We start from the raw sequence: 20,650 nt of genomic DNA on the forward strand, positions 1-20,650 counted from the left end.
GCTTGCAGGTGCCCCTCAGCATGAATAGCCTGGGTGTGTGGACAACATGTTGATGGAGGGAGGCAGACAGGTTCCTGGGTGGAAAGGGGTGAGTCCTCAGTGAAACCCCACCTTCAAGCCAGGAATGGCCTGAAGCCTGGGGGCCAGGCTGCCAGTTCCAGGTGTAGTCCACGGTCCAGAGTGAAGACTTCATCGATAACAGTTTGGCCAATCAGATGGTGTTTTTCTAGGCCCTCCATGATCACCCATGGACCAATCAGCACACACTTCCTCCATTCTGAGCCCATAAAAACCCTGGACTCAGCCAAACTCACACAGATGTCAGGAGTACCAGCTGTGAGAAGGAGCTACCCACTTCGGGTCTCCTCAGCTTTTCAGGATGACGTGCCCGCAGAAAGGAGCTACCCACTGTGGGTATCCTGAGAGCTGTCACGTCACTCAGTGAAGCTCCTCTCCACCTTGCTCACCCTCCAGTTTTCTGTATACCTCATTCTTCCTGGATGTGGGACAAGAACTCAGAGCCCACCAAATGGTGGTACTGAAAGAGCTATGACACAAACGGGGCTGAAACATGACCCCCCCACTCACCATGTTGAGGGTGCCGAGAAGGGAAGAAGAGCTGTGGCCCTTTGGGGAGCCCAAACCTAGGGGCTCCCCAAGCCAGGGCTGTAACAGCCTCTTTGGTGCTGTGTGGTTTCTGGCATCTCCGAGCTTTCGGGCAGCACTGTGTCCGCCATCTCCAGATGCTGGTGCCTGCAGCAGAAGTTACTGGCAGTATATCTGGTCCAGCCACAGCCTCACATGAAGCCTGCACCTGTGCCAGCACCTGGAGCTGCCCAGTCTGCTACAGCAGCTGGGATGCCTGGCTGTGTGTAGTGGCTGGACCCCATGCTTGCTTGCTCACACACCCCTCACTGCTCCACACCTGGCTTGCCCTTGGCAAGTGTGGGATCTGGGCTGGCAGCACAGGCCAAGCACAGCCTGCTGGGCTGAGTGGGTAGAACAAGCTCAGTGGGTGCAAGCAAAACTTGGGCAAAGATGCCACCAGCCACAGAGGTTCTGGCTGGCAAAGTGATACCCCAAGGATCCTGTGACAAAATGATGGTGATTTTTTTTAATGGCCATGGCTAAAATTGTTATTCTCTATTCTGAGGTCATGTATGTATCTACCCACTTTATTGAGCACACTGATAAGAGACTGCTTTGTGCTGCAAAGTATACAAGCAAATAATACACTATTTTGGACAGCAAGGATCTTCTAATTGTTTATAGTAATGTTAAAAAGAAAAAAATGCAGTAAGACATTGTAATTTACTAGTTCTTTCAAAATACTGCATTTCAATTTTTTCAATGTGAAGATAAACTCTAGTTTTGAATGGGCATGGCTGACTTAAATGGACAAACCTCTTTCAAACTAGCTTTGTAGAGGTTAAGTTCAGTTAGGTAAATGCAGTTTCAACATTTAAATGTAGCTGTGTGAAGGGTAACAAATTGAAGTTACTCAGCTTCAACTGAACTGCAGAGCTGGTTAAAAAAACAATGCAAGTAGCCTTGCTATAGGAAGTTGTTAAAACACAACTTGTTAGAGGCTTAATTTGAGTTTGGCAGAAATACAGGGCTGACATCTGCTGTCACATGTTTGAAGCATGAATATATCCTTCCAAGAAACAAGTGATGCAGATTTTCTTTTCATGCAACAGTTGTAGGTACTTCCACTTTCTGTAGTAAAAGAATATTTCTGAAAGAATCCATAGGGGGAACAGTATAGATAGTCTTTGAAATGAAGTGGTTTGCAACTTTAGAGCTACACTATACATAGTGATCTGCATTAGCACAAGAAGACTGTTTTGTATCAAATATAATTTAACTCAAAATGTGTATGTTCCCATCGGTTTCATATGGGAGCCAAACACAGATTTAAGGAGCAATCTCATCAGTTCTCTCAGGAATATTGCATAATAATGTTTTTGTCTCTAAAACACAGAGGAGGTAAATATTATTTGTTACTGTTAGTTTCTCCCATGATTGAAGACAGGGATAGAACAATACGTAAGAGTCTAAAATGAATACCATCAGCTCCACATTGTTTAGTGATTATATCTTTACGATGGTGAAATTGGAAGTAGCCTTTTCACATTTAGCTAAACACACTTTGACATGTGATAATTATAAAGTGAGCCACATATCTGCAGGAAATACGTGTGATGTTTTCCACTCTTAACAGCTGACTTGGTGGCTCGCAACATTATTGGCATACCATTTTCAAGTGAATTATATGTTTCAGCATATAAATTCTTGATTTAGCATAGTGTCTTAATAGCTAAAGGATAGGTTGGGAAAATCAAACTTTTATTTCTCTGGCAGATATTTACAAAGTGGAAACATCTGTTTCAATTGTTGTGGGACAATCTATGCTCACTGTGGGGCAGTTAGGAAGCCAGGGCATTTTTGTAAACCTTTCCATGAGTTAACATTTGATGCCTTCCTCTGGCTCTTCCCAAGCTTTCTCCATGGCTCTTGCAGACTGGTCAGAAATTATTCTTTGACTGAGTTAACTGCCTTGTGGAAACCTCTGTAATTATCATGGCCCAGACATTTAAAAAAACTATTTGCTCATCAGATCTTTTCCAGAACTCAGAAATGACCCAAAAATGTTTGTCCCTCAAGCATATTACCAGTGTCATTACTGCCTCAATAAACTGTGTATGCGGATAGAAAATGAACTCTTTTATTTCCATGTGAAATCATCATGCTTTAGTATTTCCAGACTCCATTCATTCATTCATTCATTCATTCATTCATTCAGGGAATCACATGATGAAGAAAAAAGCTAAAAGTCAGTATAGTCATTTTCATATTTTGCTAAAAGCTTTCTGTTTCATTTAATTTTAGAAAATAGAGTAAAAATACCACACTGTTAAATCTACCATTGGCCTTGTTGCTGGTATAAATAGAGTATTTGGTTTTCCATCACTGGCTTTCTGTCATGGCCCTTTTTCCATATTCTAGATGGACTCCAGCAAAAGAAATAGAATAAGGTCCTTGACCTGGTGAAGATGAGGTTTTCAGGGAGCAGATATAGTAGGGAAGAGTAGGGCTGTCCTGTGAACCAGGTGGCATTATGAAGGACATGTGAGAGAGTCCAGTGGGGAGCACTCACTTAATCGTCTCTCTGCAAAGCCAAGAAAGCCAAGCATGCTAAAAAGACAAGACATTCCCATTCACCAGCATACATACCCCTGACACAAGAAATGAGTGCTGTCTATGTGAGGCTTGACTCTGGTGTATCAGACAGAGCCCAGTTTCTAGAGTTTATATTGACACAGTTTGCTCAAAGAATCATATTCTTCTACATGAACTGATCTACTCGGTGGGAAAAGGTTTGCATGCCGATGTGTGAGTGACCACTTAGGAAAAATATAAAGCATCTTGTCTTTGCCCTAAAAAACAGAAAATGCAGAACACTTTTCCTGTTCTTTAAGACAACATTCTCAGGACTTGTGTACTGTCTATGTGCTCAGGAATGAAAACCTATTAGAAAAGGAGAGAAAACACAGGGGAGATATGAGGGAGACATGTTTTATATGTTTTAAAGTATAAGTACCAGTAATTTATTTTTTTACCTGATATTCAACTTTTTTTTTTTTTTTTTTGAGGCAAAGTCTCGCCCTGTCACTCAGGGTTCAAGCGATTCTCCTGCCTCAGCCTCCCGAATAGCTGGGACTACAGGTGCCCACCACCACACCTGGCTAATTTTTTCTATTTTTAGTAAGGATGGGGTTTCACCATGTCCTGGCTGGCCTCAAACTCCTGACCTCGCCTCAAGTGATCCTCCCTTCTCGGCCTCCCAAAGTGCTGGGATTACAGACGTGAGCCACTGCACACAGCCTCTGATGTTCAACTTTTTGATAAGTAGTGAATAGAAAGCAGACAGGGGTGTTTTGAAGGTGTGATGGTTGTTTTCTGTCTGCCTACAAGAGTGGAATCCTTGGCTCACGCCTGTAATCCCAGCACTTGGGGAGGCTGATGTGGGTGGATCGCAAGGTCAAGAGATGGAGACCATCCTGGTTAACACGATGAAACCCCGTCTCTACTAAAAATACAAAAAAATTAGCCGGGCGTGGTGGCGGGTGCCTGTAGTCCCAGCTACTTGGGAGGCTGAGGCAGGAGAATGGCGTGAACCCGGGAGGCAGAGCTTGCACTGAGCCGAGATCGTGCCACTGCACTCCAGCCTGGGTGACAGAGCAAGACTCCGTCTCAAAAAAAAAAAAAAAAAAAAAAGAATGGAATCCTGCCTGGCAAAGGATGGAAGGGATCTCTGAGGTCAAACTGATGACAGTTACATTAATTAATCACTTGTGTAAAAATGGGAAGAAGTAGAAATCAAGTATGTTTCAGAAAGTGTCCCTCTTTCCTTTGCTGTATCTCTTAGTACCCTCTAGTGGTGTCAGCCTAACATTTTCTTACATGTAACGTGATCCTGACAGACATGTTCAGCGTTTGCAAGCCACGTCTCTATATACTTATGTATGAGGTAATCAACTAAAAATCAACAAACATTTTTTATCAAATTCCAACCTCCTAGCTTCTATCTAAGATATTGGATTGGTGGGAAAGGCCATTATTACTCATTTTATTCCTAAGACTAAAGAGTTATACTTCTTCACTATTTCTCCTACCTCAGAGCTGACTTTTGAGAAGAAACACTTTAGCTATGTTGGCAATTTGTGGCATAGGAATATATCACATTTTAATTAAGCATCACATATATTTGAAGACTTGTTCACACATATAAAGAAGTTCCATTCTAAGGCTGTCCCTGCCAAATGACAAATACTTGGTAATCACCAAATTGGTATTGTGGGAGTGGGTTAGTGACTACTCATCAAGCTTTTCATGAAAACCCCAGATTTATAGCCTCTTAATTTGTTCTGAACCCTTGCCCTGAATATATTAATTCACCTTCTAATTTTTTTTTTTGCAAATATGGTCAACATGTCTTTCTGCTTTATGAAAATGTCAGAGATGAGTATAAAGATAGGTCAATAACCACCCGGGAAAAAACCCAAGAAATCTAAACACCAGTAACTTGCAAAGGAAGCTTCTATGTATAATATAGAGTCGTGTGCATCTCATGCTGTTTCACTAAAAAATTCCTATAAACAGAAGAGAATTCTTACCTGAAAGTCCATGAGTATAACCTGGTGAAGATTACCTTTTACCTTCAGATTTTAGGTACATACAAGTTATATTTTTAAGGAAGACTTTTCAGATTATGAAAGTGCCAAGACATGCTTAGTGTAAAAATTTTAAAAAGTACCAAAAAAAATGAAGAAAATGCTAATCCTAAAAACCATAAAACTTGGATCTACTTCCCTCCAACCTTCTTTTCTGTGTGTATTGTAGTATAATGGAGATTATATTCTATATTATAATTTGTGCCTGTGTTTTTTTAACAAATAAGCATTTTCCTATCTTGTTAATGATTATATGCTGTGCTGTATGTATAATTCATTGTTTTGTGTTATTATTGCCAGTCACTTAAGTTTAGGCAGTCATATTAATTACCCATGTTTTTAGCCTTTTGAATTATTTTTCCTATAATTTGATAATATTTTCACTATAAACAAATGTATCTTCCTGAAAGTGAATTAACATAACTAGACTCACAAAAGGTATAAGTAATTTGTAAATACATGGGGTGTGCATACATTTCTCATACATCCAGGTGACTTTGTGTAAAATGCTGAAGTTCATATGCTTCCTTTTTCAGATGACTTGCATGAGTAGTCTCAAAGTCACAGCACAGTGAATACTTTATGAAAAATGAAGCATGTGGTTTTGGTTTCGGAGAGCAACCTCAACCCCAATTTAGGTCATTTCCATAGTGAATCTGTGTTAAAGCACTGTTTTCCACATCCTTTTACTGCAGAATAGACAGTGTGTTATTAGCGAGAATAGCCCACCTGCTTTTCTTCTCATTCAAACCACAGACCTCTCTAACAAAGCTGTGCTCCTAGGTTGTCATGCTCAGAGGCGCCAAACTATTTACCTTGGAGGGTCGCTTGGCCTCATTCATACCAGCCTCTCTTTTGAGCCTTGTTTACTATACGATGACAGATAATAGCCCAAGGTAGTATTGGTATAAATGTGTTGGTTTTTAAATATATTCTTAAATGACTTCAATATGAACAATAATGGTAACTTTTATTGAGCACATATAATATGCCAGGCATTGGCTACATGCGTTATTTAGAGCATCTCTTTCATTCTCATACTTTGAAGTTGGAACTCTGATTATTTCCATTTTACACATGTAGAAAAGTGAGGCATAGAATGGTGAGGTCACTTGCCCCATTCTGCAGAACTGTAAAGGGCAGCAGCATTTGTGCCTGCACTGTCTTCAAGCCAGTGCTTCTAACCACCAGCTGTGCCACCTTCACTAGGCCATTAGACCTTCTTACAAAGGACATTGGAAACAGAAAATCTTAAAGGAGTAATTAATCTCAGAAGGCCCCCTTTGAGTCCTTGGGTTTTTTTTTGATGGACTCCACCTAACCATGGACTCCTAAGACCCTCCCTCCACTGTAGTGTATGTCTGTGAGTAGACTGAGGACTTGAACAGGGCTAATCTGTACAGGATATATAGAAGAAGCCAGTCTTACACAGGGCTCAGTAAGGGAGTAAGGGAGGAATTTAGCAGAAAAGATTTGGGAAAAGATTCTACTTTACCAGTAGAAATAAAATATGTTCATTTTGAAATTGGCAAATAAGAGTAAGATACACCAAGAAGTTTTTCTTTGTTTAGAAGTGGGAGGTCTTTGGGGGGATTAATGATAAATTTTGGAGGAGATTGGATGTATTTGTTGAAACTCAAATATGGCCTGCTAAAGAATGGAAAGTTACAATGTGTTTCTTATCAATAGATAAGAAATCTCTTACCTATTGGTGATTCAGACTCTATCATCTAAGATGAACTACAATGAATAGAAACTCATTAATAGGCCATTTTGGAAGCTGTTTTATTAATAATTGATTTTCTTACAACTTACAACATGGCCTTTTTCTGAGTTTCTTCTCACTTCAGTTCATCTTAAAAATGGCTTTACTAGGAACTATTGATGTCCTTGGATAGGACTAACTAATCCATTATAAAGTAATCACATGAATTTATACTTGATGTCAGAGGTCACCTTTGTCTTCTAAATGTAGAGCTGGCAATAATTTGCTAGTTGGTCAGGAAACTCAAAGTAATACTTTGAGAGTAGCAGTGAAATCTGTTCATTTCTGTGGGTTTTTTCACATTATTTTATTTACTTTTAAAGAAATCAATGAATGTACTGTGAACCCTGATATCTGTGGAGCAGGACACTGCATTAACCTACCAGTGAGATATACCTGTATATGCTACGAGGGCTACAGGTTCAGTGAACAACAGAGGAAATGTGTGGGTAAGAGACAATTTGATTGACTAAATTATTAAATATCAAACATTTGAACATTAAGAACATTTTTTTCTTAAACCAACTTAACCATTTTGGGAAAGTGTTACTGGTTTAATTTTTTGAAAGTTTATCCCTTAGCTAAGGGAGCTCAAAAAAAGGTTTGCTAAACAACTGGAATTCTCTTACCTCTTTGTTCAACATTTGTTTACCTCGCAAATGTAATATATTTACATAAAGGTGAAATAATTTCCAAAAGCTTTTTGGGTAAAGTAAACAAAATATGAATTACAGAAACAGCTACCTAAAAACATGTATTTAGCAAAAACAAATTAACATTAGTGTATACTGCAGTAAAGAATTACATTCATTTATGTACATAAGACTTGATTTTTTTAAAGGGATTTTAAAATTGAAAATCCATATATGCTGGCCTGAAGGTGTCAGTCAATTTAGAAATTTAGGGATCTCATATATGCTCCTTTTGGAAAAAAAAAAAGTATCTCAGAAAGATATGCAGTAGAGTTAAATAAATCATTTTAATGTGACTCTAAATTTAATTTCTCTTTTTTTTTTTAAGAAAAAGAAAATTCAGCACTAAATTATGAGGCCAATAGGAAGCAACAAAGGAACATATCTAATTAATACTTCTTTAGTATATGTGAATTTTGCTGTTTGGTGTGTGTGTATGGGGGAGAAAGGAGACAGCCACCTGGTCCATAATTTGGCTATTTCCTTGTCATTTGTATACATTATATGTGTCACTTTCAGAACCTAGAATATTAAGTTAGAAAGGCAACAGAGATGACCTAATCCAACTCCATCCACATGCACGGAGGAAGAGTCTCTTTCATGGCATTTCTGACTCCCTACTGACAGCAAATTCCATTGCTTGGATGTCTCTCGTTATCAGGAGAATCCTTCTGTGTTGACCTGAAATCTGCCTCTTTGAAACACCAGTGTCATGGTTTTGTAGTTTTAGCCTTTGAAGTGATACACAGTAGGCTGCTTCTCTCTTCCAGGAACAATCCTTCAAGTACGCGAGGAGAAAGATCGTGTCTCCTTTTGCTGTTGTCCTCAGTTATAAAGGTTGGGTGGTACCCAGGGAATAGTATGATGGTATTTTACAGAACAGGGAAACTAAGTTCTTGCTACACAGAACTAATATTTTTATATGTATTTTTGTTAACAGATATTGATGAGTGTACTCAGGTCCAACACCTCTGCTCCCAGGGCCGCTGTGAAAACACCGAGGGAAGTTTCTTGTGCATTTGCCCAGCAGGATTTATGGCCAGTGAGGAGGGTACTAACTGCATAGGTAATGGCAGCATTCTTCCTGCTTACAAATTCTTAGATCTGAGTTTTTAGATCCCCTAAGACTATCATCAGTTCAGTGCTTATCCAGACAACCCAGAATTTTTTATTAAACAATTATCATGACAGCAGTCTGCTAGATCCCAGGTGATATAAAAATGGATTTTTTTCCCCTAACATTTTTGAAGAAAGAGTGTCATATATGTGCATAGACAAGATACATTAAATGTTACTTTTGGACCACCCTGCATGAATCAAAACTGGATGATTTTGATGTGTGTCAAACAAATCAAAGGGAAAGTAGAAATCAGTTACTGGCCAGGCGCCATGGCCCACACCTGTAATCCCAGCACTTTGGGAGGCCGAGCCTGGCGGATCACCTGAGGTCGGGAGTTTGAGACCAGCCTGACCAACTTGGAGAAACCCTGTCTCTACTAAAAATACAGAATTAGCCAGGCATGGTGGTGCATGCCTGTAATCCCAGCTACTTGGGAGGCTGAGGCAGGAGAATTGCTTAAACCCAGGAGGTGGAGGTTGCAGTGAGCCGAGATCACACCATTGCACTCCAGCCTGGGCAACAAGAGCGAAACTCCATCTCAAAAAAAAAAAGAAATCAGTTACTTCGTTATTATATTTGAGCTAAGCTGGGAGATGGGAGAGGTTTGAAACAGTATTTGGAACACAAAACTCAACAATGCTATCTGCTCTTCGTAGATGTTGACGAATGCCTGAGGCCGGACGTCTGTGGGGAGGGGCACTGTGTCAATACTGTGGGGGCCTTCCGGTGTGAATACTGTGACAGCGGGTACCGCATGACTCAGAGAGGCCGTTGTGAGGGTGAGTCAGCTGAGAGTGTTCAGCACACATGACGGTGATGTGCAGGGTTGGTAGGCACCTTGCCTGGTTCTTGTTTCCTTCCCACACTCAGTGCGTGACACCAGTTTATCCAAGCTCTTTCTGCTTCCTAGATTCACAGGCTCTTTGCCTCTTCCTTTCACTGGCTCTTTTGGGATTATTTTCCATCTTCATGCTCTCATTATTTTTCACCTCAATATCTGCCTCTCTGGTATTTGGAATGAAATCACCATAGAATGATTAATTGCATCATATTTAGTAGAAACACAGACTTAATTACAGAGTCCGGACCATTCATCTGGGAACATGCTGCAGGTGTAACCAGTGTTGATTTTTTGTTTTTGACCTTTTCACCTACTTACATTCCTTTGTCTCCAATGCTTTCTTTTACATGTGTTCTGGTACTTTCTCACAGACTCCCCAAGAAGCATGGTCTGACAAACTTTGGTCAGATTCCAACTGTGCTTAATAAAATTTCCTCATTATTGACCACAGCAATGAGCTTTCTCTCATTATAAAAATGTTATAAAAAGTATTTATAGCATGGTCACAATTATTATCCTTTTCATATTTCTTTTCACGTTTGTGTCCAAGTTGCTCTGGTTCTTTTTGAAACCAATGTAGTGAGGCCAGGCACGGTGGCTCACGCCTGCAATCCCAGTGCTTTGGGAGGTTGAAGCGGGTGGATCACTTGAGGCCAGGAGTTTGAGACCAGCCTGGCCAACATGCTGAAACTCCCTCTCTCCTAAAAATACAAAAATTAGCTGGATGTGGTGGCACACGCCTGTAATCCCAGCTACCTGGGAGGCTGAGAAACAAGAATCACTTGAACCTGGGAGGCAGAGGTTGCAGTGAGCTGAGATCATGCCACTGCATTCCAGCCCAGGTGACAGAGAAAAACCTTGTCTCCAAAAAACAAAGCAAAACAAAACAAAACACTATGGCACTTTTTTTGCAATTATTTTCATGAAGAAATACACTGACCTTCTGCTAAAAACCTGTCATGGAAATATGAGGGTGAAGGAACACGGGATCTGTGAGGGCACGGGAGCATGGTGCTGGTTCCTTGGGGTTCCCTGCCTGGCTGTCAGCAGAGCCTAATAGATCTGGGCTCTGTTAGGTGGGGCAGGATGGACTAGGTTGGCACAGCCAGCCCTCAGCTGTCCCCTGGCTTCTGCCTGTTGGTTTTCTTCACTGCTCTAATGACCCAGGCCTGGAGGGAGAGCTAATTAGACATTTTTTGGCAGCCTACACTTGCCCCTCCTGCTGGTGTCTTGCCTCTGCCCCTTGGGTTCTAATCTAGAGAGAAGTGGGAGTGTTTTATGTTGCTGGATCTCTGATCAGCATGGAGTTTTGTACCCTCCCCGAGGGCCACGAGGCTACAGAACAAGCACAGGTGTAAAGTGTCTCCACGCTGCTCTTCCAGGGAACTCTCCTCTGCTGAAGAGATGCAGCGTGGGAGCAGCTCACCACGCCCACAGTAACTGCCTGACCTGTAGCCACTGACTTTGCCCCTTTGAAACGTAGTACATCATCTGTAAAATAGGAACCATGAAGTTAACTTTCCAGGTTTTCATGAAAATAACTTCATGTTGCCATAACTTGTATGATGCCTGTCACTTTGTTAGTTTTCAAGAAGTTATAGTTTCTTTAAATCTCCCCCCATCCCTGACTCCTTTTGTGTTTGTATAGATCTCAAGCACCTCTGTAGTTGCGGGGAGTGCTTTAAAAAAATGGGGTGTTTATTTGACAAGCATTTATGTGCAGAGCAGTATCCCCCAACCCCCAACAAAGAAGTCAAATACTGATTTTTTTTTCCCTTTCTTTCTTTCTTTCTTTCTTTCTTTCTTTCTTTCTCTCTCTCTTTCTTTTTTTCTTTCTTTCTTTCTTTTTTTTTTTTTTTTTTTAAAGACAGTCTTGCTCTGTCGCCCAGGCTGGAGTGCAGTGGTGCGATCTCAGCTCACTGCAAGCTCCGCCTCCCGGGTTCACATCATTCTCCTGCCTCAGCCTCCTGAGTAGCTGGGACTACAGGTGACCGCCACCATGCCCGGCTAATTTTTTTTTCTATTTTTAGTAGAGACAGGGTGTCACCGTGTTAGCCAGGATGGTCTCGATCTCCTGACCTCGTGATCTGCCAGCCTCAGCCTCCCAAAGTGCTGGGATTACAGGTGTGAGCTACTGCACCCGGCCCAAATACTGATTCTTAAGTTCTACACACGGGTCAAGAATGGAAAGATAAGATACTTAAGTAATAGGATGGAAAGGAATAGAAAATAAATTGGAAAATTATGTACTTAAATTGGAAGCTTGTAGGAGAATATTCGGTGATATTCAATATATGAAAATTATTTGGGAGAAAGATGACTAGCGTTCCCTCAGTAAATAATATATAATTCTATCCCCATGAAAAGTCTTGAAAAGAAGAAGGAGCCAAGAAACGCGGCTGTTTTCAAATTTCATCATGGACTAGAACCAAACGTCCCCGGGCTTCTGGCACACAGAAGATTTTCTCAGCTGTCACTAACGAAGTTGCTTTCAAATAGCACCAGTCTCCAAGGAGTCTATTGTAGTTTACAGACATTATCTCATGCATCCTTACTTTATTCTGTTAAGGTATTATAAGGCAGGTAGTTCCTAATTTATAGAAGAGGGGAAAAGCCGAGGTGAGAGCAGGTAGAAATTCAGGGACATTATCTTGTATTGCTCAACATTGCACCCTATTTATTGGGCTAGCCTGTCTCGATGGCATTCTCTGATTTAGCAGTTGTAGTTCTATTTTTTTGAAATATCCCATCCAGAGGAGAATGTAATGCTATTTGGAAAATGAAACTGGCAAGCACCATCTTTTTGTAGAACAAGAAGTCCCAGAACATCTGACCTAAAAAAACCACTATGTATCATTGGCCATTGGCAAGAATTTTTACTGATAGAAAAAAAATTACAACACTGACCTGGTGCTTATTTTGTTAATATCATCTTTAACTTTTTCACTTTAAGTATCTTTTCACATGTCTAATGGTATGCAGTGGGAGATAATTTTTAAGTATTTACTAGAATGTAGACATCACATACCCATGGATATTTAGTGGACCCATTATATATTTCTTTCTTTTTTTGTTTCTCTAGTTTATGTCCTGAAAATCCGTTTATATTTTAAGTACGATTAAAGGTCATATATACATTGTGTATTGGGATACTTAAACATTAAATCCACTCATATAAATTCAAGATCCACCTCAGAAAAAACACTTATTTCAAATGCAGCTAGAAGCCATGGTGTTAACACTTATTTTAAACTGTTGAACTCTCTCTTATATCTTTTTCCTCATTTTATTGTTTGACAATTTTTAAAAATGCCTCAAGCTGTCGTAGTTATCTCCTCACAGACTTAACCATATTTTAGGAGATTTTTTTCTCCCCAAATTGGAAAGAATGATGATTAATGACTTCAGTTAGCTATGAATATGAAAAGTAAGGTGTATTTTTACCAGAAAATATTACCATATGGTCATATCACCGTGTTTTCTGGAAAGGCTTGGAAGTATGTGATGAGTTCACTCTCTCCTCATGTTTTTTTTTTTTTCCACCTCCAAGGAATTCCTGTCATATGAAAGGTTTTAAATTATTCCAACCTAGGATATTCTTGGGCCCATGAAGCCAAAGTGAGAATTTCCCTAGAGCATCCAATGTTTGCAGAGAGAACCTCTAGCTGGGTGGATACATAGCTTCCTCACACTCACCCCCATTCTTTGTATTTCTTTCTGGAAAGCTGTGCTATTACTTGAAAGGTTTCATGTCCAGAAATTGGCCCTAGAGGAGCTGCCAACTCCCAGAGTGGAGAGGCCAGGTCCTGCTAGTTGAAGAATTGGGGCCAGGTTCTTCCTTGGAATGTATGCAAATATTTTAATCCAGGTATGCTTGACCATGCATTATTGCCATGTATTTAAGTATAGACCCAATGTCTCACTTACCCAATTATTGTTTTTCCCACTGAAATGTAGATATAACATGCTTTCCCCCGCTGCCTTCATCACAAAGTAAGATTTTGCTTTGGTATTCTGATAAAATGTTCACGACCTAGGTTTTTGATTTTTCAGATATTGATGAATGTTTGAATCCAAGCACTTGTCCAGATGAGCAGTGTGTGAATTCTCCTGGATCTTACCAGTGCGTTCCCTGCACAGAAGGATTCCGAGGCTGGAATGGACAGTGCCTTGGTAGGTACTATAGTGTACTTATCAAAGATTTGTTTCTTCTGCATGGCCCATTTTCTGATAGAGTGGTGTAATGCCAATGGAGCCCTCTTTCAAAATGAAAAAATGAAATCTTACATCATTCTAAGAAAAGTTCCCAGTAACTTTTAACCATTGAGAAAATAAGAAAATGACTTAGCATAAAGGATGTAAGATTCTCGATGGGGAAAATAATTAGGATTGAAACAAACTGATATTCCTAATGAGATAAATATCCAAAACCAAATAAGATAGTAAGGTCTACAGGAAGGAAGAGAGATGGAGAGCAAAACACTTAAAAAGAGAGAAGAAGCATCTACCACAGACAAGTAGAATTAGGTAACACACACACACAAATTTTCAACAGAAGTATCAAAGGTAGTGCTTTAGGCACTGAGGAAGACAGAGTAATGTATTTGCTTTGATTCTAATTACCCGTGCTGTAGTTAGCTCTGCCCCTTAATGGTTTTCATTTGTGTCTACCATGTAATCTTTTTCCCTAAAACTTGAACTCTTTTCCACTCCATACCAAAACTCTGAATATGTGAGTTAAACTTTTCATTCATTCATTCCTTCTTTCCTTTCTCCCTCAAATGCTTAAGAACTTACTATAGGCTATGCATGGTGGCTCATGCCTGTAATCCCAGAACTTTGGAAGGCCGAGGCACGAGGATCACTTGAGGCCAGGAGTTTGACACCAGCCTGGGCAGCATAGCAAGACCTCATCTCTACAAAACATTAAAAAACTTACCTGGGCTTCGTGGGGTGTGTGCCTGTAATCTCAGCTACTTGAAGGCTGAGGTGGGAGGATCGCTTGAGTCCAGGAGTTCAAGGTTTCAGTGAGCTATGATTGTGCCACTGCTCTCCAGCCCGAGTGACAGTGAGACCCTGTCTCTAAAATATGAAACAAAAGGCAAAACTTACTGTATATCCCCAGAGTTGTACTAAGTTCTGGGATATATTGAGAGGAAAAACTGATATGACCCCTTCCTTTTGGTACTTACTGTCTGGTGGGGGAGACTGACATGCACTCAAACATCTCACAGATAAATGCAAACTCACAGATTTGAGACAAGCACTAGAAAGGAGGGTTCTATGATGCTGTGAGAGCATATGGTAGAACGAGCTGCCCTTAGGAAAATTCTTGAGTTGAGGTTCAACTGGTGAGGGGGTGGGAGGGAGAACATTTCAGGCACAGTAAACAGCATATGCAAGAGGCTCGTGGAAGAAGAAGAGAGCAGAAGGCCAGTGTAGCTGAAGGCCAGAGAACACAGGAAGATTTGCTGCAAGATGAGAGGACAGACCACTGAAAAATTTAAAGCCCTCTTAGTCCTGTTAAAACTGACGGTCTTCATTCTCATAGCCCTGGGAAGACATTTAGGTGTTTTAATGGGGGTTGCAGAAGTACTCTCAGTTTTAAAGCTTTAGTCTCATCACCAAACAGCATCAGCTCAGACTCTGTAGCTGGTACGGAGAGCTCCGTGTCCTGAGCCCCTAGGCCCATCCCCAACCCAAGAGTCTCTGCTGATGGAGTTGTGAGATGTAGTCTTTGAAGAAAAGATTTTTATTCATTAGTTTTTTATTTGATAAGCAATTGTTTTTGTAACTGGTGCTGACCAAAAAGTATTAATATATATGGTTTCAGTTTTCCCATTTGGCATAAATTTCATACTTGCCTATCAAGGTTCCATGCGTATTCTCATTTTCACATCCTGATAAATAATCCAGGAGCAGAGCCGGAACTCTACCTTAAATAACTACAATTCATAATAGTAGTGTAAACGCAGCCCTGATTCATGAATTTATTAGTGGAATGTGACTGATCAAATTGGCAAGTGATTGTTCTTCAATATAAATAATACTAAATGAATTCTTATACCTATATGTGCATATATATATATATATATATATATATAAACTTTAGTGATAGAAGCACAGCACCTCATTTAAAACTAATTTTACTTTGTCAACCAGATGAGTAGAATCATAAGCAGAAATATTAGATCACTGCATTTCTCAATTCAGCCAAAGTCCCACATTTAGCCCCTTGTTTTGTTTTTGCGTTGCTGAGGTCATGTATTTCCTATTGTTAAATGGAGGCAGTGTCCTTTATCTTTCTGCTTTGGGTAAAATTTTAGGCTCTACATAATCTACAAATGAAGCCACTCCCCCAAGATTTAATTGCAGTTCCATCCATTGTTCATATTGGACTTGCAGCTCTTCTAAATTTCTCATGAGGGCCTTTGCAGGTTATACTGAAATAGATTTTCCATCTTAATTTTTTATAGTAGTAGAGCTTTCAAATGTCGAGAAGTTGACTGTGACAAAAAGCAGATATTGCAGCATGCCTTTCTACTTACATTGAACCAATGGGTGGGTTGGAATTTTCTGCTAAACTCTGACCATGTTAATGACTGCCCAGCCCTAGCTTTGTACTTCTGGTACTCTAAAATACCTTTCAGAAGGTGCAGTCTTGTCTTAAGCCTAGTTTTGAGTTGAGCTCATCACTAACATAACTGGATATATATTCATTCATTTAACAAATACTGAGTGTCTACCTTGTGCCAGGTATTTTTCCAGAACACTGGGGATTGAGAGTGACTAAAATAGGCCAGGCACGGTGGCTCACGCCTGTAATCCCAGCACTTTGGGAGGCCAAGACGGGTGGATCATGAGGTCAAGAGATCGAGACCATCCTGGCCAACATGGTGAAACCCTGTCTCTACTAAAAATACAAAAATTAGCTGGGTGTGGTGGCACGCGCCTATAATCCCAGCCACCCAGTAGGCTGAGGCAGGAGAATCGCTTGAACCTGGGAGGCGGAGGTTGCAGTGAGCCGAGATTGCGCCACTGCACTCCAGCCTGGCGACAGAGCAAGACTCCATCTCAAAAAAAAAAAAAAAAAAAAAAAGAGAGAGTGAATAAAATAAAGTTTTTCTCCCTTCATTGTAGTTATACTCTAGTGCTTACGTCGTGCTTACAAATAAACACATAAGCAAGTACAATATATAGGATGTCAGATGTGATGCATGACGTGAAGAAAAGTAAAGTAAAAGATTCAGAGTCTTTAGAGATCCCTTGGTGGTCAGGATAGTCAAATGCTAAGTTATTAACATGCTCTTCCTGGCTAGTCATTTGTTTTGTCTCTAACTGTTACCTGTGATTATATCCTTTTAGTTCTGATAATATAGGATATATTGATGAATTTTTTGCCCCAATTGTTAATGAAAATTCTCCGTGATAACATTAAAGACTTTTTTTTTTTTTTTTTTTTTTTTTTTGAGACGGAGTCTCGCTCTTTCGCCCAGGCTGAAGTGGAGTGGCGCCATCTCAGCTCACTGCAACCTCCACCTCCCGGATTCACGCCATTCTCCTACCTCAGCCTCCTGAGTAACTGGGACTACAGGCGCCCGCCACCACGCCTGGCTAATTTTTTGTATTTTTAGTAGAGACGGGGTTTCACCATGTTAGCCAGGATGGTCTGGATCTCCTGACCTCGTGATCCACCCGCCTCGGCCTCCCAAAGTGCTGGGATTACAGGCGTGAGCCACCGTGCCCGGTCATTAAAAAGTTTCCTGCAATCACACCATTTTGGTGAAAAATCCTACATTTGTCATTTGTTAGTTGCCATCTGTAGAGATGATAATGTCTATCTCACAGGGCTGCCGTGTTCCATAAATGTTAGTGTCTTTTTTTCTAACTCTCCTCTCACTGAGTACATGTTTTTACATTGTTATAATCAAACATGTACAATGTTTTATATAACATTTCTTAAATTTCACATTATGCTTATAGTTTTTTTTCTAAACTGGTCTATCTTCACGTTGATTTGACTCTCTTTCTATTGAATGACTTCATTAAGCATTGCTATTCAACCCCTATATTCTGCAGGGATTTTATACCAGTTACACTTTCTGCTTCTTTCACAGACTAAATGATGAACTTGGTGAAACCGTTAATGGCCTCTTTGTATTCATGACATGTAAGCTGGATCTTACTGATTGATGCTTCTCCTTGATTTATAAATTAGAGCAGAAATTGTTTTGGGCAGAAATAGGCAAAATGTTAGCAGGTGTTTTCTGAGGGACTACATTTTTTCCCTAGTGTTTAGCTCAGGTCATACAATCCCTCATCCTCAATAGTTTATTATCCACTTCAAATATCTATCATTTCAGACTGTACCTAACACACATCATCCCTAATGCTTTTTGGCAACTCTTGTTGGCTCTTCTGTTAACGTAGCTTCTTCTTTCAAGTCGTGGATTTCATTCTTCTCTAGAGAGTCACGTTCGTCATTCGGCACTGTATTCCTTGGACCTGACATTCAGCCTGGAGTTGCTGCCCACTCGATCCCCACCTTTAATGACTATTTCATCACTCTGGGTTCTGGCCAGTTCCAAATGGCTATTTCAACCAAGTCCTTTCTTAAGGGAAGCCACCCTGTCAGGTACTCAATTTACAGGTTCTTCTTGGCTTGTGGAGATCTGGCCTGATTGAAACCCGATGAGAGCCATCCCCCAAGGAAACTCTCTAATATTTAATTATTTAAAGATACATTTGATATTGCTAATGTAGAGATCTTAGTTCCCTGAATTTAGACAGAGTTTGGGCTACATGACCTCTCTGAAGCTTAGTTTTATTATCTGTAAAATGGGGATTGAAATACTTGCTGTTTAAGCTTTCTTGCCAGAATGAAGTAAGCAATATGAAGCACCTAGTAGGCATCTGACATATGGTGGAACCCCATCCATGCTACAACCCTTTTTCCCCAACTATTACCCTCCTCTATACTGCTCTTGTCCTCAAACATAAGAGATGCAGTAATAACTGGTACTTGGTAAAGTAAGTTATGTATCACATTCTTTTTTTTTTTTTTTTTTTTTCTGAGATGGAGTCTCACTCTTGTCGCCCAGGCTGGAGTGCAATGGCGTGATCTCGGCTCACTGCAACCTCCGCCTCCAGGGTTCAAGTGATTCTCCTGCGTCAGCCTCCCGAGTAGCTGGGATTACAGGTGCCCGCCACCACGCTTGGCTAATTTTTGTATTTTTAGTAGAGATGGGGTTTCACCATGTTGGCCAGGCTAGCCTCGAACTCCTGACCTCAGGTGATCCACCCATCTCAGTCCCCGAAAGTGCTGGGATTACAGGGGTAAGCCACCGTGCCCGGGTCACATTCTTCTATATAACTATATTCTCTTTGGCTTTTTGAAGCTCATGTCATATAGTTTTTTAATTCTTCTTATGTCATTGGAGCATTCTCTTTTCTTTCTTTCTTTTTCTTTTTTTTTTTTTTTGAGACGGAGTCTCCCTCTGTTGCCCAGGCTGGAGTGCAATGGCGCGATCTCGGCTCACTGCAACCTCCACCTCCCGGGTTCAAGCAGTTCTCCTGCCTCAGTCTCCTGAGTTGCTGGGATTACAGCTGCATGCCATTATGCCCGGCTAATTTTTGTATTTTTAGTAGAGGTGGGGTTTCACCATGTTGGTCAGGCTGTTCTAGAACTCCTGACCTTGTGATCCACCTTCCTCAGACTCCCAAAGTGCTGGGATTACAGGCGTGAGCCACCGCACCTGGCCTTTTGGAGCATTCTTTTATGAATGTAAATAATTTTGTGGTTCCTGTTCAATATCTCCCATCCAAATACTAACTGGGCCCACCCTGCTTAGCTTCCAAGGTCAGACTAGATCGGGCACGTTCAGGGTGATATGTCTGTTGACTCCTTCCAACTTCTTAGTGTTCTTACTTAGCTGGAATATACTTCTTGGGAGCCATGATACTTCTCTGTAGGGTCATTAGTGATTCCTAACAAATGTTCAGGCATCTATAATAATGCTGCTATTTCCATTCCTGTACTTTATTGTCTCTGCTCACCTTCACAAGGCAGAATATGCCACCTATTGGATATATGCAGCTAGCCTTTTGGGGGTTGTCTTGCTTTGTAGTTCAGTTTGTGATAGAACTTGAGACCCGGTAACACAAAATTCTGAGATTTTGTCAGTGTAATCTTTCTTTTTTAACCCCTGATTAAGTTGAGAATGACTTTCTGACTCCCATTTAAACTCTGTGAATGTAGGTCTTGGGTATTTGAAGAATTTAGTATCATTCAGTCTACTTGACAACTGATTAGCTACAGTCTTAACCAAGACCTGGCACAGAGAACTTGAAGAATAAACTTGGACAGAAAACATGGAGAACTCATTGTTCTAGAAGTTCTTTTCACACTAGGCTTTATTTTCAGATTTGAAGATTCAGTGTTAACTTTCATGGCTTATATGAATATTCATAGACTAATCCAAAATTGAAGACTTGGTACAGCAGATATTTGTTTTATAGAAGATTGCAACTGAGTACAGCATGTACCTTTTTCATATTTTATGTGCAAACATTAGCTTTATCCCTACATTATTATATGCTAAAGGATGCTTCTAATCAATCACTAAGCTATTTATTGAGCTGTTGTCTGTGTATCTATATGCCAGAGAAGATTGGCAGTTATAAAAACACCCACCCAAATGTCCAACAATGATAGACTGGATTAAGAAAACGTGGCACGTATACACCATGGAATACTATGCAGCCATAAAAAAATGATGAGTTCATGTCCTTTGTAGGGACAGGGATGAAGCTGGAAACCATCATTCTCAGCAAACTATCGCAAGGACAAAAAACCAAACACCGCATGTTCTCACTCATAGGTGGGAATTGAACAATGAGAACACATGGACACAGGAAGGGGAACATCACACACCAGGACCTGTTGTGGGGTGAGGGGAGGGGGAAGAGATAGCATTAGGAGATATACCTAATGTT

The 20,650-nt window shown here is 40.5% G+C and overlaps 1 protein-coding gene and 1 pseudogene across 65 annotated transcripts in view; one reads left to right on the forward strand and one right to left on the reverse strand.

Annotated features, from left to right (window-relative positions):
- The window catches only part of LTBP1 (latent transforming growth factor beta binding protein 1), a 452,557-nt gene that overhangs the window by 319,378 nt on the left and 112,529 nt on the right, over nt 1–20,650 (forward strand). For 36 of the 65 annotated variants that reach the window (XM_011532853.3, XM_011532857.3, XM_011532861.3 and 33 more), the window contains 4 exons: nt 7,326–7,451; nt 8,635–8,760; nt 9,471–9,593; nt 13,709–13,828. In XM_011532853.3, the coding sequence (XP_011531155.1) occupies nt 7,326–7,451; nt 8,635–8,760; nt 9,471–9,593; nt 13,709–13,828 (495 nt within the window). The remainder of the gene's footprint in view (nt 1–7,325; nt 7,452–8,634; nt 8,761–9,470; nt 9,594–13,708; nt 13,829–20,650) is intronic. The other 29 variants (XM_011532858.3, XM_047444359.1, XM_047444366.1 and 26 more) reach the window with 3 other exon arrangements.
- Nucleotides 19,439–19,557, reverse strand: RNA5SP91 (RNA, 5S ribosomal pseudogene 91; annotated as a pseudogene).

The sequence above is a fragment of the Homo sapiens genome, chromosome 2 (assembly GCF_000001405.40).
Source record: "Homo sapiens chromosome 2, GRCh38.p14 Primary Assembly".
In the NCBI taxonomy this organism is placed as follows: Eukaryota; Metazoa; Chordata; class Mammalia; order Primates; family Hominidae; genus Homo; species Homo sapiens.